Source organism: Homo sapiens, chromosome 10, assembly GCF_000001405.40.
Source record: "Homo sapiens chromosome 10, GRCh38.p14 Primary Assembly".
NCBI classification, from domain to species: Eukaryota; Metazoa; Chordata; class Mammalia; order Primates; family Hominidae; genus Homo; species Homo sapiens.
This window is the reverse complement of record NC_000010.11, coordinates 133,194,460-133,218,966: the sequence shown is the minus strand read 5'-3', so window position 1 is coordinate 133,218,966 and position 24,507 is coordinate 133,194,460. Positions and strand designations below refer to the sequence as shown.

The window sequence follows — 24,507 nt, the reverse complement described above, 5'->3', positions numbered from 1 at the left end:
GAGGGGGACGCACAGGGGACTGCCTCACGGCCAGGTGCTCCAGCCCGCTCAGGATCTGCATGGCTGTCGCGAAGTTTCTCTGCTCATAGCAAGATTTTGCAATCAGCAAAAATTTGGACAGCAAGTTCACCTGCAGCTGCAATAAGAAAATGACACATTCAGCGTCTTCTGGTTTAAGATGAACAAAGGGAATATTTGAGAACCTGTTAAAATCACCCAGCTCCAAGACACAAGAGCGTGTGCTGCATCACGTGTGTGGAAAGGAAGCGGCTGTGTGGACGCAGGTGAGCGGTGGCCGTGGAGGGGCTGGGCTGGCGGGACGGGGTGGGCATGACTTGAAATAAAACAAAATAAAAGCAAAGCCTGATACGCGGAAAGACTTGAAAAGAAGTCCACCCTCACTTCTCAAAAGCAAGATTGTGCCTGGATGCACCTCCCCAGGCAGCTTCAGGACTGGGAAAGGCGACCCCACCCAGGGAGAGGCCGCTGTCGTGTCCACAGGCAGATGGGGAGCCACAGGCAGCTCCGTGCCCACCCCCCAACCCGCTGCGCCAAGCCCGTGGCAGGAGTGTTTGGGTGCAGTCCGGGGTGGGTGCCTGAGTGCCGCCCCCTCCTCCGGGGCTCTGTGGCTGGCGGTGACGACCTTGCTGGCCTTGGTTGGAACACCCCATGGGTGGTGAATGCCTCACCCAGCAGGATTCCTATTCTGAGCAGTCCCAAAGGGCTGCGTTCCTGGATCCACTTCCAGGGCTTCAGGAAGATTCTGGAGAACTCAGCTGACCCCTCCTGTTGTAGCTGCCTGTCCCTGAGGAATCACCTTGGCCTGGGCCATCCTTTGGTGGAAACCAAGGCTGCAGAGTCCAGCTGGACGCCATGCCCCGGATCGACTCTTTTTTTTTTTTTTTTTGAGATGGAGTCTTGCTCTGTGGCCCAGGCTGGAGTGCAGTGGCGCGATCTCGGCTCGGTGCAGCCTCCACCTCCCGGGTTCAAGTGATTCTCCTGCCTCAGCCTCTCAAAGTGCTGGGATTACAGGCGTGATAATTTTTGTATTTTTAGTGGAGACAGGGTTTCCCCATGTTGGTCAGGCTGGTCTCGAACTCCTGACCTCGTGATCTGCCCGCCTTGGACTCCCAAAGTGCTGGGATTACAGATGTGATAATTTTTGTATTTTTAGTGGAGATGAGGTTTCACCATATTGGCCAGGCAGGTCTCGAACTCCTGACCTCATGATCCACCCGCCTTGGACTCCCAAAGTGCTGGGATCACAGCCGTGATAATTTTTGTATTTTTAGTAGAGATGGGGTTTCACCATGTCAGCCAGGCTGGTCTCGAACTCCTGACCTCATGATCTGCCTGCCTCAGACTCCCAAAGTGCTGGGATCACAGGCGTGATAATTTTTGTATTTTTAGTAGAGATGGGGTTTCACCATGTCAGCCAGGCTGGTCTCGAACTCCTGACCTCGTGATCTGCCCGCCTCGGACTCCCAAAGTGCTGGGATTAGAGGCGTGAGCCACCGCGCCTGCCCCCGGGCTCAACTCTTGTCTGCAGGGCCCCTGTGCAGCTGAAGGCGCCTCATGTGATCCTGGGCTCACCCCGACTGCGGCCCCAGCCCTCTTGCCTGAGCGCCTTGAGAGGAGCTTGAGAAGTGTTTACCGGATACACTTTCTACGCTGACGTCTCAGTCTGTTTCTTCATCGGTTTAAGTAGATGCAAAGTATGTAATTTTGAGATAAAACTATTTCGCCACACTTTTTCACTGTTGTTTTAACCTTTTGATTTTTAATTGTAAAAAGTATGTAATAGAGGATTTACCTTTGTAGCCTTTTCTGAGTGCACGGTTCAGCCGTGTTAACTACATCCACACTGTGCAGCATGTCTGCGACTCTCCATCTTCCCAAACGGAAACTCGGTCCCCGTTCAACACGAGCTCCCCGTGCCCCACTCCCAGCCCCCGGCGCCCACCCTGCTACTTTGTCTCCGTGAATCTTGCGCCTCCAGGCGCCTCGTGTACGTGGAGCCGTCCACTGTCCGTGCTTCGCGACTGGCTCGTTTCCCTGAGCCTGAGTCCCTCGAGGTTCATCGTGCTGCCGCAGGCGTCAGAATTTCCCTCCTGTTAAGGCTGAATAAGTTCTCAAGGTACAAAGAGGCCGCATTTTCTTTATCTGTTCTTCTCTCCGTGGACATTTAGGTGCCTCCACCTCTTGGCTATGGTGTTCCATATTTTTAAACAAATCTAAAGAAACCAAAGCCCTATTCTGCTTTCAAACTCCCCATTTTTATTTTTTATTTTTTTTGAGATAGGGTCTCGCACCGTCGTCTAGGCTGCCGTGGTGCAACCTCAGCTCACTGCAACCGCCACCTCCTGGGCTCCAGTGATCCTCCCGCCTCAGCCTCCTGAGGAGCTGGGACTCCAGGTGTGCGCCACCAGCCTGGACAATTTTTTATATTTTCAGTAGAGACGGGGTTTCGATATGTTGTCCAAGCTGATCCCAACTCCTGGTCTCAAGTGATCTGCCCTCCTCGGCCTCCCAAAGGGCTGGGGTTACAGGCATCAGCCACTGCGACCGGCCTGCGTTTTCTTAAGGTGAGAAATTTTACGCTGTTTCTTCCTGCTTCTGTTTCCACCTTGTCTCCCTCCAGACGTCGTCTAAACGGTGCCACCAAGACATTGTCTGAACGGAACCACCGACCCCCCATTTTCTTCAGGTGAGAAATTTTATGCCGTTTCTTCCTGCCCTTGTGTCTCCACCTCGCCTCACTCCAGGCATCGTCAGAACGGAGCCACTGACCCCCGAGCATTTTTATTGATCACTGCTGCCCTCTGTGCTCGAATTTTGTATTTTAATGATTTTCTGGGGTCCTGAATTTACAAATGTGAAACTCAGTGTCCTGGATTGTTCCGACCTCACAGCCATTGAGACACAATACGTCAGGACATCGTGGCTCTAACACTTGTTAGATGGACGAGCGTGGTGCTTTTAGAAGTGGGTCTCCGGCGAGGTCCGTCCGCTCCCGTGAGGAGGTGAGGGGCCTGTTCTGAGCGATCCGCAGCTCCCTTTTGCTAACGGGGATGTGGCAGCAGTGCCGAGCTCTGTCCCGGCCACGCTGGGTGCCAGCAGCCCTGGGTGTGAGCCTGCACGACTCTTGCCCACCCTGCAGACCTGTACACGGGTGCGTGACCAGGACGAGCGGCCATCCCGGAGACCCTCAGGCAGGGCCGCCGCAGGCTCGAGGTGGGTCTCAGGCTGGGAGGGGCAGTCCTCCACCCGCTGGGGCAGCTCGGGGTGAGGGTGCGCCCAGGACGATGTGGGTTGGCCAGGTGACAGCCACCTGTCCTTGTGCTCATCCTCATGAAGCCTGGCCACACGGGCCGTGCGTGAAGGCTCTGGTTTAGGGAAATCGCATTTTCATGTCCCTCACGATATGGTGAAAACCATGGATCTGAGGAAAGAGGCAACCAGGCTCCCTGTTCCCACGCCCCGTGCTGGCGTGCCCTGGCGACAAATCCCCAAAGTTGGAAAGTTCTCCCCAAGGGAGGAGAGAAGGCGGTGCCTCTGCCTTCGTTTACGGCCCGGGGTTGCCTGCGGGCTTGGAGGGGTGTGAAGGAATAATAGGAAGGGAAGCTCTGTCCACCGTGGAGGTGGCTTTGCCGCCTGGCAGGGAGGTACTGCACCTTGGTGGACTGCGAGCAGCTCCTGGTTCCCCCAGAGCCTTCAGCCCACTCTGGGACAGCAGCAGGGACGGCAGTGATGGGGTTCGTGGCCGGGAGTCCTGTTCCTTGGGCTCAAGTTTGCTTTCAGAGAGCTCCGGCCCAGGAGGGGGTGGGCGTCTACCTGCCTGCTGTGGGGGAAGGGGCCCTGTAATCCTGAGTCTTACTTGGAGCGGGACCTGGTGACCCCAGCCCACGACAGCCAAGCGCCAGCTGAGCTCAGGTGTGAGGAGATCACAGTCCTCTGTAATAGGCTGTCCGTCTGCTGGGTGAAGGCATCCGCTGGGTGAAGGTGCAGACCCCTGGGGCTGGGGGACTCTGGCCTCCTGAGAAGCTGTGGACCCTGATGCCTCCTGGGCAGGTAAGCCCCGTGAAGGATGAGCTGGTCGAGGCAGTGACTCTCTAGGGGCTGCACAGTGCCCTGCCTGACAGCAGGTGGGGCAGGTCAGGGGAGGAGCCCCCAGTCCAGCCCAAGCCCCACAGGACCTAGAAGAGGCTGAGACTGGGCCCCGGCGCTGGAGCTTGACCTTGACCTTGGTCAGACCACGGAGCCGATCCGTTCCACAGACTAAGAACCCACAATGAGCATTCGGCCAGGAGGAGCCCAGGGTGGGACGCTGGGCATCACAAGCCCCAGCCCAGGGGCCAGGCTCAGGCACAGAGGGGATGGGGCCTGGGGTGGAGTGGGGTGTGTGGCGGAGCCCAGTGCTGGGGGTGGTGCGTGAGGGACTCTGTGTGTGGTGAGCACAGGTGGGGGTGGTAGCAGTGGTGGGTGCAGCTTGTCCTGGGTCTCCAGGCGGCCCACAGCCAAGGATCACCCACCACTGAGGGGAGCCATCTCTGGCTGCAGATGTGGACGTGGCTGTGGAAGTGGCCGTGGATGTGGATGTGGCCGTGGATGTGGCAGGCAGTGCTGGGGGAGAGCTGGGAGGGCGGCTGACCCCCCTCCTCCTGATGTAGTGAAGCCTGTGCCCTGCTCCCCTCAGCCTTGGGTCGGGTGTGGTTCCAAGGGACACAGAGTTGGGTTCACTGCATTGGGAGAGGGTTCAGGCCACGGCCTTATAGGAGGCGCTGCCACCCCCGCGTAGGTGGGCCCCACGCCCCGTGTTGGCCTCGGAACTGTAGGGTGCCCACCTTGGAGGTGTGGCTGGTCACAATCTCTGCAGCCACCCAGGTGCTGACGTCATCTGCGTTTCTTAGAAGCTGTAACAGATACTTGTCCTGAACGTAATTGGGCAGAAATAAGCTGCAGGTTTTGGCCGAAAGAGACTCAGAAGAGCTGGCTCTGGAAGAGAAATATGGTCCCTGTCACCCCCAGGACTTGTGCAGTGGCCCTGCCCGGCCCTGGGGCTGCTGGTGCAGGGTGGGCTGGGGTCGGGCCACGAGGCCGCTCCAACTGGCAGACACCACTCTCTCGCGTCTCTGGAGACACAGGCATCTCCTGCTGGTCAGGAGCGTCCACAAGACTCTTACGGGAAGCCCCCGAGACCCTCCACCACCGCTCCCAGCTGAGGGTCCCGGACGCTCACTTGGGGATGGCAGTGCTCTTGTCCATGACGCCCAGGGCCCGTGAGTTCAGGAAGTGGACCGGGTGGCACTTTTGAAACAACTCCTGCCCAGAACATGGAAACAAGAGGTTCAGGCTTCCATCCCTTAGGGCCTTGTGTCCAAGGCAGGGTCCCAGGGAGGGTGGGTGTTTTCTGGGGGGCCAGCTCTGCAATCCCAGGTTCAATACCCATCTAACAGTCCACAGGGGTCGGCTGCAGGGCTCCCCATGTGCTTGGCCCCCAGGGGCTCATGGTGTCCGGGGCAGCCCTCGTGACAGCAGGTGGATCACTAGATTGGCATCACTGCTGTCACCTGCTACATGATGTGGGCTCCCGGGATGGCAGGGACCTGGGAAGAGGCCACCTGAGGGCTGGCTGTGGTGGCGGCAGAGGAAGTTGGGCAGGGCCCTGGCAGCTGGGTGGGGGCACAAGGAACCGGGTTGGCCCAGCTCCGGTGGAGGGGCTGGGGGGAGAGACTCAGCGCCCCATGCGGCCCTCAGGGCATCCTCTAGTGCCTGTGAGGCCAGAGTGCTGGGCAGAGGCAGGGCCAGGCCCAGCGGGCAGTGGTCTGGAGAGGAGGACTCAGCTTTGCTGGGGCCTCCCATTGAGGCAGCAGCCGCCTGGACCTGTGCACCTGGCAGCCACCCCCAACCTGTGCACCTGGCAGCTGGCCCCTTCTCTGCCCGTCTGTTCCTCTGGAAGCAGCCGCTGAGGGCCCTATGGGCGCGGAGTGTTTCTGGGGCCCCGACTCGCAGGTGACCTGGGCGCAGATCCTCGCCCTCCTCACCTGCTGTAGCAGCGTGAGCTGGCTGAAGAGCTGGTGAGTGCTGTACTCCGTCAGGAAGTAGGGCCCCTTCTCACTGGTCTTGGCGCAGGGGCCGTAGAAGTCCTCGAGGAAGCAGGGCTTGGGCAGGGCGGCAGCAATGGTGTAGGGGCGCTCCTTGTGTGGCGGCAGCACCAGCCCGTTGCCTCGGGGCAGCCTCCAGGGGAAGCTCTGCAGGGCAGGCCGGGCACTGAGGGGCCTAAGCTCCGTGTCCCCTCTGGGTCAGGGGTCCAGGGAGGCAGGGTTGGGGGGTGAGGACCAGGCCAGGTGCAAGCCCAGTACTCCTCAGACTGGCCCAGCCAGAGCCAGAGAGCAGCCTGCCCACCCGCAGCTGTGCTGGCACAAGGATGCCTGTCCTGGTCGTTTCAGCAGGTGCCCCACGGGCAGGACGCTGAGGTTTAATGGAGAGGGCATTTCTCTCCCCACACTGGCTTCTGCCTTAGTCTCTGGCCCGTGGGTCAATGAGTCACAGCAGGACCCTCCTCCCCTGAGCACCCGGGATGGTGCAGGAGGTGCCAGCGCAGCAGGGCTGCCTGGGACCGGGAACATGGAGGGGGTATGTGAGTGTGCACGTGTGGATGTGAGGGTGCATGCGTGTGTGTGTGGATGCGTGTGCGGGTGCACGTGTGTGCATGTGTGGATTGCGTGAGGGTGCACACGTGTAGGTGTGGATATGTGTGAGGGTGCACACGTGTAGGTGTGGATATGTGTGAGGGTGCACACGAGTGCATGTATGGCTGTGTGAAGGTGCACGTGCGTGTGCACGTGTGGATTGAGTGTGCACGCATGTGCACGTGTGGATTGTGTGAAGGTGCATGCATATGTGCACGTGTGGATGTGTGTGATGTGCACAGGTATGTATGTGCACACAAGTGTATGTGCACACGTCTATGTGTATGCATGTATACAGCTGTGCCCATTTGCACTTGTGTGTATGTGTGTGCATGCACCAGTTGTGTCTTTGAGGCTGGGCTCAGGGACCCACATCCGCCTGTCCAGGGAGGACCTCCCCTGAGAAAGGACCCCACCTTCCTGGAGATGCCGTCCTCTGAGAGCCTCTTACAGAGGGCGTTGAAGGGTCTGGCATCCTCCTCGGCCTCCCTGGGGTTCTCCAGGTCTGTGCCGCGAGGGTTGCCCTCGGCCCGCCGGTCCATGCCCACCTCCAGGAGGCCCAGCAGGTGCTTGGCAGAGCCGTCCAGGGGTAGGATCTAGGCAGAAGCACAGTGGTGGGGGGGTCACTGCCACCTTCTGGAGGAGGGCGGCACCTCCCACTGTGGGAGCCCCGGGTGCGGCCGCCCAGCTCAGCGCCACTGTCACCTTGGAGGAGATGAAGTCCTCTAGCTTCCCCAGCAGCCCGCTGTTCCGAGGGAAGTCCACAGCGTAGCAGTCCTCCACCCAGGCCTGCAGGACGCAGAGGCTCCGCCTGTAGATCTTGGTGAAGGTCGAGGTGGGGTCCTGGTGGGCCCTGGAGACGCAGGGGAGCTGCTGAGCTGCCAGGATGTGGGAGTCGGGGGCAGAGGCCCAGGGGCTTGCATGTGGCTCTCCCAGAGAGGCAGGGTGGGACCAGGCTCCATGTGTGCAGGGGGCTTAGGGGGCTGGGGGTCTTCCGTGGGTCCCTCCCCCGAGGCAGGAGCTGAGGTGCCAGGGAGGTGCCCAGCCTGGGCGTGTGGGGGCAAGGGGGTGCGTGGAGTGTCCTGGGGGGGCAGCAGATCAGCCCAGAGAGAGGCAGAGCCCCTCCCCCCTCAGCCCACCACCCCTCTCCTGACACCAGGTGCTGGCCATGGGTACCGAGGGAGGCTGGCGGCCGGTAGGACCCTCTGCTTGGTGCTTCCCCTTCCCCCAGCTGACCTTCTGGCTCTCACTGCCTGCCCACCTGCCCTCCGCTTTCCTCCCAGGTCAGCAGGAAGAGACCCCGACTCCCCCAGGTCCCCTCCCAGAGCTCCCAGGTGCCCAGGCCACCGCCCTCCTGCCCCAGCTGCTTTCTCCGCATCCCTGTGTGTCCTCCACCTCCAGCCGGACCTCCAGCCAGGCTTCCCTGGCCCCTCACCCCCTTGGGTCGCCAGGGACCACCTCGTTCTTCATGGTGGCTAAACCAGGCCCATGGGCGCCCACCCTGCCCCAGGGGGAAGCTCTGGCGGGCGTGGAGCTGTGGAGCTTGGTACCTGGTCAGCGTGCTGTTGATGCGGTCGAGGAGGAAGTGCAGGAAGTCGTGGGGTGTGCAGAAGTAGCGGAAGGTGTAGAGGAATTGCTGCACATAACCCTCCAGGAAGGCATCACTGTGGGGCGGGGCGGGCGGCGGTGAGGTGGTGGGGTGGCCGCACCCCAGGGCTCGGCTAGTGTTCGGTGGTGGGGTGTGACTGTATGTGTGTGTGCGTTTTCTTTGAGTATCACTGTCAGGAGAATCCCCGGAGAAATTAAAGGGGGGACATGGATAACCCTCAAATTTCAAATTTCATTTGAAATTCCCAACTACTTCCAGCCTTCCAGCACCAGGGCCTTTTTTTTTTTTTTTTTTTTTTTTTGGCAGAGTTTCGCTCTTGTCGCCCAGGCTGGAGTGCAATGGTGTGATCTCCGCCTCCCAGGTTCAAGCAATTTTCCTGCCTCAGCCTCCCGAATAGCTGGGACTACAGGCGCCTACCATGCCCGGCTGATTTTTGTGTTTTAGTAGAGATGGGGTTTCACCATGTTTCCCAGGCTGGTCTCGAACTCCTGACCTCAGGTGATCTGCCTGCCTCGGCCACCCAAAGTGCTGGAATGACAGGCGTGAGCCACCGTGCCCTGCTGAACACCAGGGCCTTTCTGAACGCAGCCCTATGCAGGGCTTTGTGACGTCTCCACTCGCAGGACCCGTTAGCTCGGGAAGCTGAGGGAGCTGGTGCCTCGGGACCGGGCGCAATGCTGCACGCTCAAAGGTTCTGGGTCTTCACTGGGTGAAACCGCGCCACCCTCAGGAGACACTGACCAGGGCCCCGCCTGCAGGTCTGGGACTGTCCTGGGAGCCCGACGGCCACGGTCAGGAAGCGGAGGCCTGGCAAGGCCTCCTCCCACCCTGGAGGAGTCTCAGGCAGGAGATGGCGTGGCCCTGGAACAAGGGGCCTGGTCACCCACTCACCTGGGGTCCGAGGACACAGGTGGCCACAGCCCCAGCCCCAGGCTGCCCTGCAAAGGTGACGCCCACCAGGTCCACAGAGCGGGGAAGCCCCTCGTGACCACATCACGGCCAGGAGACGCTCCTTCCATGGAAGCACAGCACTCACACTCACGCCATGCAAGCCACAAACTGTACAACCACAGACACGCACGCCACACACGTGGACAAAGCCACACAGAACTCGACAACCAGACGCGCACACCACACACATGCACAAAGCCACACAGAACTCCACAACCAGACGCGCACACCACACACGCGCACACAAGCCACACTATACCCCACACCACACATACGTGCACACACACACTATACCCGCCACACACCACAGATCACACATGTGCACACATGCCACACTATACCTCACACCACATGTGCACACACTATACCCCACACCGCACAGCACACACGTGCACACACACACTGTACCCCACACCACACACACTATACTCCACACACCACACACACACTACCGCATACCACACACCACACATGTGCATACGCACCACACAAAACCCAACCACACACGTGTACACGCCACACTACACCCCATGCCATACACACATGCACACCTGCCACGCAATACCCAACCACACACCACACACGCCACACAATACTCCACATCACACACCATACATGGGCACGCAAGCCACACATCACCCCACACATGCACACACATCACACTATACCTCACAACCGCACACGTACCTACTACACCACACGATATCCCACAACCACACACCACACACGTGCACACATGTCACATTATACCCCACGCCACACATGCGTGTGCTTACATGCCAGACAGTATCCCATCAGCACATACACACACCACACACATCACACACTCCATACAAGCCTAAATACACATCACATTTGTGTACTACACATGCACAACAAAGCACATCACACATTACCCGGACACACCACACATGCACACACACCAAGAACGCACCACACTGCACACGTGCCCAGTCACGCACACGGACGTCTCCCGCAACGGCACAGAGACCCTGCGGTGGGCGTGGGCTGTGTCTGTCTTGCAGTTGAGGAGGCTGAGAACTAGGTCCGAGGGTCAGCCTGGACCCCTGGCTAGTAGGTGGCCCCATGTGACCAGGGGCAGCTCACCTTGGGAGAACGGGGTCGGAGGTGGGGCCACGTCCCTCTCTAGAGGGTCCTTGGGGTAACGGGGTTGGGGGGGCCACGTCCCTCTCTAGAGGGTCCTTGGGGTAACGGGGTTGGGGGCCCACGTCCCTCTCTAGAGGGTCCTTGGGGTAACGGGGTTGGGGGGGCCACATCCCTCTCTAGAGGGTCCTTGGGGTAACGGGGTTGGGGGGCCACGTCCCTCTCTAGAGGGTCCTTGGGGTAACGGGGTTGGGGGGGCCACGTCCCTCTCTAGAGGGTCCTTGGGGTAACGGGGTTGGGGGGCCACGTCCCTCTCTAGAGGGTCCTTGGGGTAACGGGGTTGGGGGGGCCACGTCCCTCTCTAGAGGGTCCTTGGGGTAACGGGGTTGGGGGTGGCCACCATCCCTCTCTGGGGGCCTGCCTGTCCCCACTGGCTGCTGAGAGCCCTGGCTCCCTGCTGTCCTCCTTGGCGTCCTTTGCTGGGCCCCATGGCCTCTGCTCAGAGAGGACCCTTGGGGCTCCAAGGTGGTGTCATAAGGGTCCCATAAGCCAACATGGGGTTGGCCCCAGTCACTGGCAGGGTGGCCTCTCTGGGAGCTGGTCAGACCAGTGGGTCCAGAGCCTGCTGCAGCTCCCAGTGCCTGAGAACAGGGTGCAGCCCAGGGGCCCATGCAGGCCAGAGTGGGTGAAGGGCCAAGGGGGCTGGTGGGGCGGCCGGGGGTCTGGCCCTGTGGCCCTGGTGGAGGTGAGTGGGCCCGGCGGCTCCTCCCTGCTGCAGGCGTACGTACGCACACCAGCGTTTACGGATCAGGGGTCTCCTGAGCCAGTGTGCACACCGAGTGGAGGGGGCTGCAGAAACACCCCAGCCTCACCCGTCCCTGGAGCTAATTACCCCGGGTGTTCTGACTCGGTGAGTTGGATGGAGTCCAGGCCACATCGCCGAGCTGCCTGTGCGTGTTATTTTTGGAAGCCATTCCGTGTGTTAATTATGTAGGGCGGTTCCGCAGCACCTCCGGGGACCACCAGGCGCACCCTGAGACCTGGTGCCCAGGCCCACAGGCGGCGGAGGCCACTCTGGCCAGGGCTCTGCAAAGCTGCCGGTGGCACCTAGTGCACATTGGCCTAAACCCCGATTAAACATTTCTCTAAACTAAAAAGTGCAAACCCAGCCTAGCTGACTGGCGAGGGCACGTTCCCCCCCTCTTCTCAGCACCCCGGGCTACGTCTCCTTTTCCGGGTGAGCTTTTCTCCCAACGCACCTGGAGTACAGGTAGGCCATGAGCCCCAGCGGCGTGCCGGCCTGCAGGATGCGGGCCTTCTGCCGGCCGCCCGGGTGCTTGTTGACGTTGTAGAAGATGAGCGAGGAGGACTCGTCCAGGGGGCTGAAGTCCAGCGTGTCGCAGGGTGCGGCCGCGATGTTCACGATCACTGGGAGGGTGCAGGGCTCCAGGCCCCAGCGTTCCGCGTACATGACCTGCCGGAGCGGGACACGGGCGCTTGGTCACTCTGCCCCTCGCCCCAGGGCTTCCTGGCATTGGACCCTCAAATCAGGGCCCCTTTTATAACTTCACACGGACAGATTTACAGCATCCAACAGTGGGAGGCCCGTCTGAAGCTACTGCCTCACGGGGCAGAGCGGGGCCCGGAGCCCACTTGCCTGCAGATACTTCTTGACCAAGCTGAGGAATTGCACCCTGGATTTCATTTCTTCTAGCTGCCCTTTCAGCTTGGACAGCATGGTCTTGACGTCGGAACCTGTGGGTGGAGCAGAGTGGGTGGGGGCCGGGCTGCCTGCAGCCAGGGTCTCGGACCTGTGCCCACAGGGGCCTTACCTTTGTTCCTCTTTTCCTTCTGTAAGAGTTTCTGGTAGAACTTCAGGGTCTTGCGGTAGTTTCTTTTCTCCATCATGAGCTGCTGTTCCAGCTCCTGGGGACGAAACACAGCGCCTAAGCCCCAGGCAGCCCCAACACACGTCAGCCACATCCAGGGCCAGGCCCCACCCCACTGGGGCCTCCTTGGCCTTGGAGATCAGCTGCAGGGCAGGGTCCCATGGAGACAGAGGCCCACTCAGCCAGCGAGGCCAGCCCCGGCCTGGGCAGTGTGGTCTGGGGGGCCCTGGGCTGCCCCCAGGCTCACAGGGCAGTGCCCAGCTTGGGGCCGACTGCTCCCTGCGCCCCTCACCCACAGTCAGGCCCTTGTGGGGGATGCTCAGGGGAACCAGGCCCCACCAAGTCAGCACCAGGCCCTCCTGCCCAAGCAGGCAGGGCTGTGCCACCTCTGGGCCCCCAAGTGCACATTGTGGGCGGGGCTGGGGGCAGGGGGTGGCAGCGGGACCTCCCCAACGTGCATCCCGTGTGTCTTCAGGTGTCTGCCTTTTTATTTTTTATTTTTTAATTTAGTTATTATTTTTGAGATGGGGTTTTTCTCTTGTTGCCCAGGCTGGAGTGCAATGGCACCATCTCAGCTCACCACAACCTCTGCCTCCCAGGTTCAAGCGATTCTCCTGCCTCAGCCTCCCGAGTAGCTGGGATTACAGGCATGCACCACCATGCCCGGCTAATTTTGTATTTTTGGTAGAGATGGGGTTTCTCCATGTTGGTCAGGCTGGTCTTGAACTCCCGACCTCAGGTGATCTGCCCGCCTCGGCCTCCCAGAGTGCCGGGATTACAGGTGTGAGCCACCACGCCTGGCCGTTTTTTATTTTTATTGACTTTTTAATTTTATTTTATTTTTTATTTTTTGAGATGAGGTCTTGCTGTCACTCGGGCTGGAGTGCGGTGGCCCGATTCGCTCTGCTGCCCAGGTGGGAGTGCAGTGGCGCGATCACAACTCACTGCAACCTCCAACTCCCTGGGTTCAAGCATTTCTCCCATCTCAGCCTCCCAAAGTGCTGGGATTACAGGCGTGAGCCACTGCACCAGCCTTGCCTTTCTTTTAAACTTAAAGAAGCCCAATGATGCGGATTCCAGCTGGCCTGTGCAGACGAGGCCCCCAAAAACCCTCCTCCCGGGAACCCACTGGCTGGACCATCGTGGTTTGCTGGGCGGCGGCCGCAGCGTTTGCCCCAGCCCTTGGGTGCTCCATAGAGCATGAGCGTTGAGTGTAAATGTGAGTGCACGCCCGGGTGTGATTCTCCGGAACCTGCCCAGAGTCTGAGTTCCTGCCTGCGAGATGGAGCCGGGGACCTCATCCCCAGGGCTGTCGCCATGAGGGAAGCAGGACTGAGGCCAGACGGGCAGGTCCTGATCACAGGAGCTGGGGGCGAGGGCCGCCGGGCACTGCTTCATGCACAGACAGCAGCTGGGGCTGAGCGCCTCCCTGGACGGGACTCTACATTCAGGGAGAGGGCGCCGCGTTGTCCCAGGATGCCTCCCACGCCTGGCCGGGCAGCCCTCGTCTGAGCACTCCTTCTGTCCTACGGGACAGGCACACGGGCGTAGAGGCTGGAGGAGGGGCGCCCTGAGGATGGGCTGCCAGGGCAGTGACCCCAGAGACGGCCCTTCCCTCTAGGGGTACAGGGGCAGATACAGCCTCCTCCTGCACCCGTGGGGCTTGGCCCAGTACTGAGGAGGGTGGTGATTCTGGGGGTGAGGAGGGTGGTGGTTCTGGGGTGAGGGGTCTGGGAAGTCTTGGGGGTCCATGGGAGCTGGGCCTTGAGCAGCAGGTCTTCAGGGGGACTGTGAGGTGCCACGGGGCAGGGGCACCTGGCTGGGGGCAGAGGTGAGAGGCGCGGCAGCCCTCGGCCCGCAGCCTCCTGTGAGGGGTTCACGTGCCCAGGGCCCGAAGCGACCGCCCCGAGGGGCTCATCCGCGAGCCGGTCCACCAGGCTTCCTTTTGTGAAGTGCGGTTGGCTCAGATCCACACAGCCACCCCCTCGCCTTGTCAGCCGCCAGTGACTCTGCTATTGACAGGGTTTATTTTTGAATGTTTTTTGCAAAATAAAAAAATGCAGGCGACATTTCTATTTAACTACTTGAATCCGCTCTATCTGGTGGTTCCATGGAGACGGGGTCCCTGTGCTGTCTTCTCCCACGCACGGGTTCAGCAGCGGCCGTGGCGGTGCCACGGAGGGCCAGGCTCCCCGCTACGGCAGTGTGGGCAGTGTCCCAGCTGCGTAAAGACCAGGCCTCTGCAGAACCTCGGCCACTAAGCCAGGTTCCCCAAGCCCTCCGGACCCCGCTGCCACCCAGCCAAGTGCGACCCTGCCTCCCACACTGAGCTGCAGGCTGCCGTGGCTGCCTAAAGTGCAGTGAAATTAAAACATCAGGTCCTCAGTCACGTGGGCCATGTTTCCAGAGCTCAGTAGCCACACGTGGCTGTTGGCTACCCGGTGGACAGCGTCTAGAACATTCCATCATCAAGGAAGGACCTACCGGGCTGGGCAGGTTGAGGTTGGTAAACGCAGGTGTCCCCATGGAGCTGTGTTCTGCTGCCGGGGCACCTGGTCCTGGCTTCTGAGGATGGTGGTGGCCACGTTCCCCCATGGCCTGCACCATGGGGCCCTCGTCCGGCCCCCGGAGGTCACCGGCGCCAGGCTCCATCCAGCCCTCTCACCCCCATCCATTTGCAGAGGTGCTGATGTCGAGAAAATCTCCTGGGAAAGGTCTGTGTACCCTGACGCATCCAGGAACCTGGAGGCGGGTGCCTGCGAGCCCGATGCCCGCCTGGCTGGAGTGCAGCTCACGCAGACTCCTCTCTGGCCGGCACCTCCACGGCCTCCGTTCACAGTCAGACTCGATGTCCGTCGGGGGCGCTCCTCACGCGGGAACCACAGGCGGACTCCATGAGGAGGACGGTCTTGACTGATTTTAATAAATCCACGGTAACTAAAATCCACACCACATGTGGGGCAGTGAGGAGGGAAACACGAGGCCAGGCTTCACCGGTGCAGACAGACGGGGGAGGAACCCACACCAGTGCTGTCCACGCTGACTCTGGGAGCCACGCTTGTTTTAACAGCAGGAGACGCGGATGCCAGCTCCACAGCCCCAGGGCACCCGCAGTGCTGAGCCCAGCACACACGGCCGGCACCAGTAGGTGGGGGTCAGCGCTGAAGGGAGGAAATGCCCACCGGCTGCTCCAGCCGCCCCAGAGAACGGCCCTCGCTGCACCGTGTGCGTTTTGGGCTGCGGATGTGAAAGTCTGTCTCCAGGTGGTTTTTGCCCTTGCTGTGTTTCTGAGCCTCCTGTTTTGAAAGAGACACAGTAGCTCCTCCAAGAGAAACGTGAGGCTGTGGCCATGGGCCGGACGCTGTGTGTTTGGGGGCCGAGTGCTCCCTGCTGGACACCATGAGTTTGGGGGCCGAGTGCTCCCCGCTGGACGCCGTGAGTTTGGGGGCCGAGTGCTCCCCGCTGGACTCTGTGCGTTTGGGGGCCGAGTGCTCCCCACTGGACGCCGTGCGTTTGGGGGCCGAGTGCTCCCCGCTGGACTCTGTGCGTTTGGGGGCCGAGTGCTCCCCGCTGGACGCCGTGCGTTTGGGGGCCGAGTGCTCCCCGCTGGACGCCGTGCGTTTGGGGGTGGAGTGCTCCCCGCTGGACTCTGCCAGTTTGGGGGCCGAGTGCTCCCCGCTGGACGCCATGCGTTTGGGGGCGGAGTGCTCCCGGCTGGACGCCGTGAGTTTGGGGGCTGAGTGCTCCCTGCTGGACTCCCTGCGTTTGGGGGCCGGGTCGTTTGGTGTTTGCTGTGCCGGCCGCCCTTTTCTCTCCCCAGCCCCGGGGGCGGCCTTTGCGTCCTCGAAGCCCCCTCAGGCCCTGTGTGGGGTGTCCGAGATGCAGGTGCAGAGGCTGTAGCACCATGCGGGTCTTTCACGTGGCCCAGAAGCTGAAATGAAGTGAAGGCTTCACAGAGCTTAACCCCTGTCCCCTCACCTGCCCTGAAGGGACACCGGGTCATGTTCTGGACTGAGTCATAAAGTGCAGGCCAGGAGGCGGCAGGAGAGGAGCAAGGAGGAGCCCCAGGAAGGGCTCCGATGCCCAGAGGCTGGGGGAGGCTTCCCACGGTGGCTCAGCTCGAGGCAGACGGTGGTAGGAGAGGTTCCCGGAGCTGATGGCCACTGGGCCCCTCCTGTCATCCACCCTGGAGTCCCGGGGCTCTCGAGAATGCAGCCCAGGTCGGGGCTGTGGGTCACTGGTCCCACCTTGCGTCCAGAGCTCTGCAGGCCTCTCCTGCACCCAGGACTCCCCGGTCTAAGACCTCCTCTCCCTGCTGGCCAGGGAGGAGTTGCAGCTGCTCCTGACCCAGGATGGCACTGCTGGCCAGAAAGCCCGGACCAGGCTGCAGCGACCAGGCCCAGTCTAGACTTGCTGGGCAGGCGTTTTTGGTGTTTTCTTTCACTGCAGAGCGAGGCTGCCCAAGGGCCCGGAGGCTGTGCCTGCCCCACGGAAAACACGACCGAACGCAACCTGGTCACGAGCATGGAGGGGCCTCCTGTGAACCCATCGCCCGGGCGACCATGAGAGAAAAGCCCTTCCCTGTCCTCAGACGTGGAGCCACCAGGAGCACCAGTGCAGACGAGCCTGTCCCTAGACGTGGAGCTCAGCCCAGGGAGGGGGCCCTGACCATCTTGACAGCCACGGGGTGGGGGCACCAGGACCAGTGTCACCCTGTTGGGGGCTCTGGGCACACGGTGCCATCTGTCACCTGCAGTGACCAGGAAGCTCTGCTGGAAGGAGACGCCCTGCCCCACCCGGCAGTGCCAAGGCCTGGGACTCACCGGGCTCTGGGCGTCGGGCAGGGCCCCGTCCGCCTGCTGCCGCCCCAGGTCCTTCACGTAGTTGTGGACGTCGGCCCCGAAGCAGTCGGCCTCGTAGAAGGCGCTGCACCAGCCGGGGCTGCAGCTCTGGAATCCGGCTGGGCCGGGGGACAAGGCTGGGCCGACCCCTTTGGACCTGGCCAGTCGGGTCACTGCCTCCACGTCTGAGGCCCCGCCAGCTGGCCGTCTGTCCTCGCCAGCCTCAGGCTGCTGCGCTCTCTCGGCTTTTACGGACCTCTGAGGCCGAAACCCCACCTCGAAGTTTCCCCGTGACAGTGCGTCCGAGTCCACATCCGACACCGAGGTGGGTGAGCAGGGGGCCCTGCTGCTGGTCCTGGCCATGGCTGGCTTCTCTTTTCCTTGAAAGAAAGAGACGCAGGTTACGTGGACAGTGGCTCCTGTGGGCGGAGCCCGGGCAGGCTGTTAATGGGAGGCCGGTGGTGCTTGCACACCCGACGCCCTTCTCTCTTGCACCCGCCCACCACGGGCGCCCCCCGGGCACGGCTGCCGCCTCCCAGTGCAGGGGAGATGCTGGGACCCTGAACTGCCGCACGGGGCCGGGTGACAGAGAGAGGCCTCTCCCCAGATGGAGCCCCACTCTGCGCCCTCACTGCTTCCAAACTCGTACTCGCCCCGGGGTGGGGCCGGGCCCTGTCCTCGCTGGCTCTGCTATCAGGACTGTGTCCCTCTGCCCCCTCACGCTCTCCTCTTTTCTTCTGGAATTTAAAAAGTGGTCCCCAGCTCTGTCCCTGCGGGAGCTTCCCCTGTGCAGGGCTTTCCTGCCATCCAGGAGTGCACGGGCCTCATGCCCCAGCCTGCCCGCCTGGTCTCCGACTTGATAGGAACTGGGCCCGTCACCAAGCCTGGCCACGACTACGGACAGCCTGAGGGTGACCACCACCCCCACCTTGTCCCTAACACCAAGCCTGCTGGCTGGACGCTGGGACGTCCCCAGCCTGGCACTCATGTGCCCTGGGATCCTGGGGCTAACAAGCCCACTTCTGCCTTGTCACCAAAGCCCCGGCTCACAGGCCCCCCTCTGCTTGGAGAGCGGATCCCACCTGGCTCCCGGCGGCTCCCACTGTCCCAGTGGCCGGTGACAGAGGACCCCCCACCTCCAAGGTCCTGGGCTCCTGCTCGCCCCCAGAAGAGGACGGCCTTTGGCTGGGCACCCCCAGGAGAGGACGGCCTTTGGCTGGGCACCCCCAGGAGAGGGCGGCCTTTGGCTGGGCACCCCCAGGAGAGGGCGGCCTTTGGCTGGGCACCCCCGGGGCAAAGGCAGCCCCGCTGGAGCAGTGCAGTCTGAGGCTGCTGGGACCCTGGGGCGCCCCCCGCATTGCAGAGAGCACAGAGGAGCCGCCCAGCAGAGCTCCTGCCGCGGGGCCCGCCCAGCACTTACCCAGGCGGTGCAGCGACGGCCTCTTGCTGGACGGGGAGCGGGGGCTTTGGCTGCCCTCGAGCTGTGACCCAGCCTCCTCGGCCGTGCTGACGACGAGAATGCAGGTCAGTCCCCACCTCCGCCCACTGGGAGGAGGCCACAGTCTCCACAGGGCGGGGCCCACAGGCCCACACGTCTATGCGGAGCTCTCGCTGGAGGCGGCAGGAGCTCACCCCTCTCAGTCACTAAGGGGCACAGCAGCCGACGGGATCCCTGGGTCATTCACTGCTTGGGGTCCCTGGGGGGACTCGGGAGCAGCCTCTCAGTGCTGCGGGGCCGAGGAGGCCGGGGCTGGGGTGGGTGCCCTTGCTCACAGCTGTGTTTACTCCACACGCACGCGGAGGAGCTGCCCGGGCTGCTGGCACCGCGTGGAGCTGTGAGCAAGGCAATGTGGGGTGGCCGCCGCCCCACCCAACACAGCTCAGTGCTGGGCCCTGTGGGGTCTGGGGCCACCTGTTTGGGAGTCTCTTCACCTCCTTGGGGCCCTCACACTGGTCCCTCTGAGCAGGGAGCCCTGTGGCCATCACTGCCCAGGCCCCCTGCAGCCTCCCGGAGAGCCCCTGCCTCATATTCTCTGAAAGCCCTTTCGTCCTCCAGAAGAAACCCAGGTCCGATGGGAAAGCTGTGAGTAGGCGTCAGGCCCAAGGAGGGGCTGCTGGGACCCCCACCCATCTCCACCAAGGGTAGCCCCTCTGGAGACAGCAGCGAGATGGAAGCGGAGGGTTGGGAGGGGAAGGCTGGGCCCGGGTCAGGCAGCAGAGCCCAGGCACAGTGGGCATCAGGGAGGGGCGGGAATGCAGGGCCGAACTGGGCACCCACCTTGGGGAGGGTGACGCCTGCCCGTTGACCACCTTAAAGAGGTTCTGCAGCAACTTCTCATCCCAGTACAGGTCACAGAACTTCTCGGAAATGGCGCCACAGAAAGTGGCAAAGGTGAGATCTTTCAAGGCGAAGATGTACTCCCCTGGTTTTGCAAAACGATGGAGACAAGTGAGATGGTGGCAGGGCTGCTCATCTGGTTCCCTTGTGGCTGATGAAACGGACAAGGCTGATCTCGGCTGGGGGGCTGGGGGAAGGGCGTGGGGCGGCCCCGAGTCCCCTGTGGGGCTCTCCCTGGCCCGGGCCTCCTCTGGGGCGTCTGCGGCCCCCACGTACCCATGATCAGAGCCTCCAGCCCATTGTCCAGGTAGCCATCGAAGGCAAATTCCTCCTGGATGAGGCGCGTGGCCTCCTGCAGCGACGGGCAGGCCGTCCTCCCTGGGAGTGGCGAGGCATCCACGCAGGGCAGACAGAGCCTCCGGTCTGCGGGCCGCGGCCTCTCTGGGACACTGTCTGGACTCTGGTCATCACGTTCCCCGGCAGGGGTGGCCCCGGGGCCCTCTGGCTCCTGGCCCGGGCGCTCGGTGGCCTTGCTTCGTGGGGGCTTGGGCGGGTGGCGTGGGCCGTGGTGGGCCGTGGTGGGCCCCAGGGCGTCGGGCCTGAGGCCCCCGGAAGCAACTCCAGGTGGGATCGGCTCAGCCGGCCCTTGCTCTACGGGCAGCGCAGATGCCTTCGTGGGCGGGGCGGGGACTGGAGAGCCGGGAGCTGCCGATGAGGCCCCCTCTGGCTGGTTTGCTGGGGCCTGGGGTGGAGGGCAGGGGCGGCCCTGGGCTGAGTCACGCTGCACTGACGCCCCAAGAGGCTCTGGGGCTGCTCCCTGTGGCCCCGGACCAGGCACCGGCCCGTCAGGCGTCTTCAGGCTGGGGGACCCAGCGTGGGCCTCCAGGGAGAGCTTCTCCTCACCTTCTCCCTCCCTCTGGCCGCCCCTCTCCTCGGACTCCTCCTGGGCCAAGGCAGGCTGGTCCCTACGGGAGGAGCAGAGCTCAGGAGGGGCTGCCTGCGCCCGGGACCCAGCAGCTCCGGGGTGTGGGGACGATGCTCACCTGGCCACACTTGCGTTCTGCGCGAGGACAATGGGCTTGAAGTGCGTGGCCTCGGAGGTGAACGCTGCAGGCAGCTGGGTGGCTTCTTCACCGCAGGGGTGCTGGCCGGGCACGGGCCCTGGCACAGCCACAAGCCCGGTGTCGCTGTTCACCGGCAGGAAGCCTGGGGAGCCAGGGGGCTGAGGGTGTGGGCGGGCGGAGTGGCCCCAGCACGTGCCGCACCACCGGCTCATCCCACCCAGTGCTCATCCCACCCAGTGCGTGGTGCCGCGTCCCCTCCCGCATGGCCCTGGGGGCTTCCTCTGTGCTGGGCCCTGGAATGGGAGGGTGGGTGAGACTGGTGCTTGGGGGAGGGCCAGCAGGCGGGGACGGGCCAGCAAGACCAGGCCCCACCAGAAGCCTTGGAGGGGCCTGCTGAGCAGGGCTCAGTACGGGGGTGGGGTGGGCTCTGTGTGGACTCTGGGGGTCTCCAGATGTGGGCTTGGGAGGGCCAGCTGCTGGGAGATGGGAGTGAGAACCTGGAGCTGGGGCCTGAGCGACTGGGAGTTTTGGGAGATGGGGGCTGGCAGGGGCAGGCAGGCTGGGCTGCATGGGCCACGTTGGCCGAGCTCTGGACTTGCTTCCCGGGTTTCCGAGAGGTGCCCGGCTGTGTCTGTCCATGCAGAGGTGGGGGCAGCTGTGGTGTCAGGTGCAGGAGCTGGTGGGGCAGCAGGGGCTGGTCAGGTCCCCACCTGGGCTGGGCTCTGGGGCTGGTGCCACACTGGGCTTCAGTTCAACCACTGAGAAGGCGTTTTGGAGGCTGATGGTCTCTTCCTCCTGGTACACCTGGGGAGGAGGTGACAGCCCTGGGCCAGGTGACCACGGAGCTCCGCCAGCGCCGGCAACACCCACAGGGCGTCCCCCACCACCCGCCGGTGCCGTGGAGCTTCCTGCTGGGGAGGAGCCGGGCATGGCGGCCACACGGCCCAAGCTCTGCAGCGGCTCTGCCTGGAGAGGGAGCCGTTGGGGCTCCTTTGCCTCCCAAGCCAACCAGGTTTCCGTGGGTTCCAGGGAGTGGGAGACGCCAGCACCACCCGAGACTCAGGGCCCACACTCCCAAAGCTCTCTGCGCCCGGGGTGGGTGCTGGGCCGCCGTCCTTGGGACCCTGCCCTGATCCTGATCTGGGTCCCTGGGGGCCACTGTGGGGCCTTTAGATGGGACTCGAGTGTCCCCCTGCACCCCCAGATGCACCCACCCACAGCTCGGTGGTCAACAGAGACCGGGGTGTGGGGCTGCCGGGAGCGGCCAGGCAAGGGCAAGTGCGTCCAGGAGGGAGGAAGCTAAGCGCGGCGGAGGAGGCGGCGGCCTGGCTGTTCTAGCCCACCTGGCAGATGGAAGCTCTGAGGTGGGCAAGGATTTTCCGGCTGTCCATGCCTCGCTGGAGGAGGTAGCTGCCGCACACCTGGAGGGAGGAGACAGTTCACACGTCCCGACAGGCCTCAGCCACGGCTGCACCGTCCCCGTGTCACTGGGTCCCCATCTGAAAAAGCTCAGGGCTGCCAGGAGGGTTTCCTGTTTGTTCTCACCGACACCCAACTACAGGCCCCGGACAAGCCTTTCTTAGAGCATTTCCTGAAAAGGGCTCACAGTCGGCCACTGTCCCCCAGGCTCCCTGGGAGGGCAGAATCCCAAACCCAGCGTTGGCCACAGACCTGGTAGCCTCGTCGCCTGGACACTGGCAGCCCTTGGTCACGTTCGCCTGAGCCCCACGCTCCCTGCCCCCGGCCACTCCTGTCCTCCCTTTATAAGCTCAGGCCTTGTGCACATGGGAACTGAGCTCAGCTTCCCCAGCTCTCAGTAGTTACTGAATAAAATCTGCTTTCACTGCTTGGCAGACGCCCAGCCGTGTCTAGATCTCATCCTCCTGCAGCAGAGGAGGCCTGAGAGGCCCACAGGGTCTGAGCAACCCGCCCAAGACCACAGAGCAGTCGAGGCGGAGACGGCTGGACCCAGGTCCCCAACCCCATGGCCGTCTCCGCTCCCCCAGACACGGCTCCTCCCCAGGAGGTCCTCCTGATCACCCACACCCAGCTCGGCTCCTCCCCAGGAGGTCCTCCTGATCACTGACACATGAGAGTTTGGCTCCTGCCCCACCTGCTGGTCCACCCGCTGGTCCCCATGCCGGGTGCGGGTGCAGGTCCCAGCAGGAGTACGTTAGAACCCAGCCCCAAAGCTTGAGTCCAGCAGGGAGACCAGGCAGGGAGGGGCGGGGCTGGTGGGATCCTCAGAGGAGGTGGGGGTTCGGGGTGGGGGGTGAGGTGTGGAGGCCTCTCTCTGCTCCCCTCCAGCAGGGCCTAAGAGCAGGGGTCTGCACGTGCCCACAGGACACCCCTTGCCCCCGCCCTGGCCTCTTGGACAAGCTGGAGAGAGCGGGCTCCGCAGGAGGAACGGCCATGGTGGGGAGCAGCAGAGACCCCCATGCTGTCCACCCACATGGACGTGGCCATGACGCGAAACCCACTCCCTTCCCCATGCGACGGCCAGGCCGACGTCTAGAAACAGGGACCTAGAAACAGACCTGGTGGCCTCATCACCTGGACACTGGCAGCCCGTGCTCCTCCACCCCCAGCTCAGCGAGGGCGGCCACTGCCCACAGTCCTTGGACCCTGGGCTGGGGCCATGACTGTGGTGTGGTTACCTTGATGGCCTCAGCCGCGGACGGCCGCTCCGGGGCACTGCGCCTGGCCATGTCCAGGAGGAGGGTCTTGAGCCTGCGTGGCAGGGCCAGCTTGTGGTTGCGGGGGACGCTGAACTTGGCTGCGGTCCACAGAACGGCGGCCACACAGTACACAGAGGCCTGGGCGGGTGGGGAGAGAATAGTGTCTACCGCAGGGCTGTGGGCTGCTGTGCCCAGCAGACCTGCCCACCTCAGGCACCCTGAGGGGCACCCAGGCACTGCCCCCACAGAGGGGCTCTCCTCAAGACCCCTCCTCAGCATCTATCAGGCCCCACCCTGGACCCCTGCATCCGCCTCCAGGTCGTGGTCCAGGAACCTGCAGGTCGAACTCTCCCCCATGGTTCTGTCCGCGTTTTAAACACCAGAGGGTTGGAAGCCTCAACTGGACTTTCCCACCTTCCACTCTCCTCACGAAGGCAGCAGCTCGAGGGTTTGAGGAGAACTGGCCAGCATAGCCCCCACCTCACGGACCCGGGAGCCCCCCGACTGGTGCCTGCTCCCGGAAGCCCCCCGACTGGTGCCGTGCTGCTACATGGCTAACAACTGGCTCTCCGAGCGAACACACCGCCTGTGTGCAAACTGAGTTCATCCGGCACGTTGCTGATGTAAGGGATGCACAGCACACCATTTGATGCACGTTTTGTAAGTTCCACAGAGCCAGTCAATTCTCACTGAAGGCTTTCATTGATAAAAATCAATGAAACCCATGTTCATCCACAGTCCACCACAATACACGAGTGCTGCTGACATGAGTGTTGGTTGATGTTTTCATTCATTTCAGTAAATGAGATGGAAGTGAAGCCGGACAGACCCATGCTGGAATTCGGGGCACCCCTCTGAGCGACGTCTTTGCTGAATCAGATGGTCGCGGTTGATATCGTAAGACCATGTCCTCCACCTTTTGGGCTATTCTCAAGGGAGCGGCCACAGACATGACACACTTTTAAGTTTAATCACATCATCCACGTGTTCTCCATCACTTCAGTAAGTCCAGAGAGTCAACAGAACAAGACATTTGTAGCGTTTGCTGCTTTCCCTGGTGTAAGTACTCCCACGTGGCTGACTTCTGGCTACCAATGCAGTGCCCTTGAGTGTGGAGCTGGGAAGAGGCAGCTCCCCTTTACAGAGTCTCCCCCATCCAGGCACAGCAGACGCAGACAGCCCCACGAGCATAGAACAGCCAACTAGAGTCAGATAAGTAGGAAATCACCCATTTTGAGCACTTGTTACACTTTTAAAAAATTAACCTTTTATTTTGTGATAATTGTACATAGTTTTAATAAATAATAGAGCTCATGTACTTTGTACCCAGTTTCCACAACA

General features: G+C 62.2%; 1 protein-coding gene and 2 long non-coding RNA genes across 7 annotated transcripts in view, besides 2 other annotated features; 2 read left to right on the top strand and 1 right to left on the bottom strand.

Moving 5' to 3' along the window:
• Nucleotides 1–24,507, bottom strand: part of KNDC1 (kinase non-catalytic C-lobe domain containing 1) — a 66,194-nt gene that overhangs the window by 7,446 nt on the left and 34,241 nt on the right. The window contains exons 10-27 of one of the 3 annotated variants that reach the window (NM_152643.8): nt 23,146–23,304; nt 21,832–21,909; nt 21,199–21,292; nt 20,468–20,630; nt 19,701–20,389; nt 19,365–19,509; nt 18,507–18,592; nt 17,069–17,466; nt 12,189–12,282; nt 12,014–12,111; nt 11,616–11,830; nt 8,243–8,356; nt 7,398–7,545; nt 7,109–7,288; nt 6,045–6,251; nt 5,240–5,322; nt 4,845–4,995; nt 14–136 (exon numbers count right to left, since the gene is read on the bottom strand). In NM_152643.8, coding sequence (NP_689856.6) covers nt 14–136; nt 4,845–4,995; nt 5,240–5,322; nt 6,045–6,251; nt 7,109–7,288; nt 7,398–7,545; nt 8,243–8,356; nt 11,616–11,830; nt 12,014–12,111; nt 12,189–12,282; nt 17,069–17,466; nt 18,507–18,592; nt 19,365–19,509; nt 19,701–20,389; nt 20,468–20,630; nt 21,199–21,292; nt 21,832–21,909; nt 23,146–23,304 — 3,225 coding nt within the window. The other 2 variants (XM_017016858.3, XM_017016859.3) reach the window with 2 other exon arrangements.
• On the top strand, nt 130–21,771 carry LOC105378573 (uncharacterized). Of its 3 annotated transcripts, XR_007062351.1 has the most exons (5): nt 130–284; nt 1,550–1,715; nt 2,642–2,707; nt 16,695–18,610; nt 21,693–21,771. It is a non-coding gene; the product is annotated as an uncharacterized LOC105378573 (long non-coding RNA). The 3 variants fall into 3 exon arrangements; XR_007062353.1 differs by lacking the exons at nt 16,695–18,610; nt 21,693–21,771 and adding an exon at nt 2,913–3,067; XR_007062352.1 differs by lacking the exons at nt 1,550–1,715; nt 21,693–21,771 and having other exon boundaries at nt 16,695–16,851.
• Nucleotides 17,872–18,617: an enhancer, noted in NCBI's record as "H3K27ac-H3K4me1 hESC enhancer chr10:135013854-135014599 (GRCh37/hg19 assembly coordinates)". NCBI's record gives its function as "activates a minimal SCP1, AML or CMV promoter by ChIP-STARR-seq in naive H9 embryonic stem cells {active_cell/tissue: H9 hESC(naive)}" and the evidence as "EXISTENCE:reporter gene assay evidence [ECO:0000049][PMID:30033119]".
• Nucleotides 18,618–19,364: an enhancer, noted in NCBI's record as "H3K27ac-H3K4me1 hESC enhancer chr10:135013107-135013853 (GRCh37/hg19 assembly coordinates)". NCBI's record gives its function as "activates a minimal SCP1, AML or CMV promoter by ChIP-STARR-seq in naive H9 embryonic stem cells {active_cell/tissue: H9 hESC(naive)}" and the evidence as "EXISTENCE:reporter gene assay evidence [ECO:0000049][PMID:30033119]".
• LOC105378574 (uncharacterized) lies at nt 22,631–24,480 on the top strand. The gene is made up of 2 exons (XR_946511.3): nt 22,631–23,826; nt 23,966–24,480. It is a non-coding gene; the product is annotated as an uncharacterized LOC105378574 (long non-coding RNA).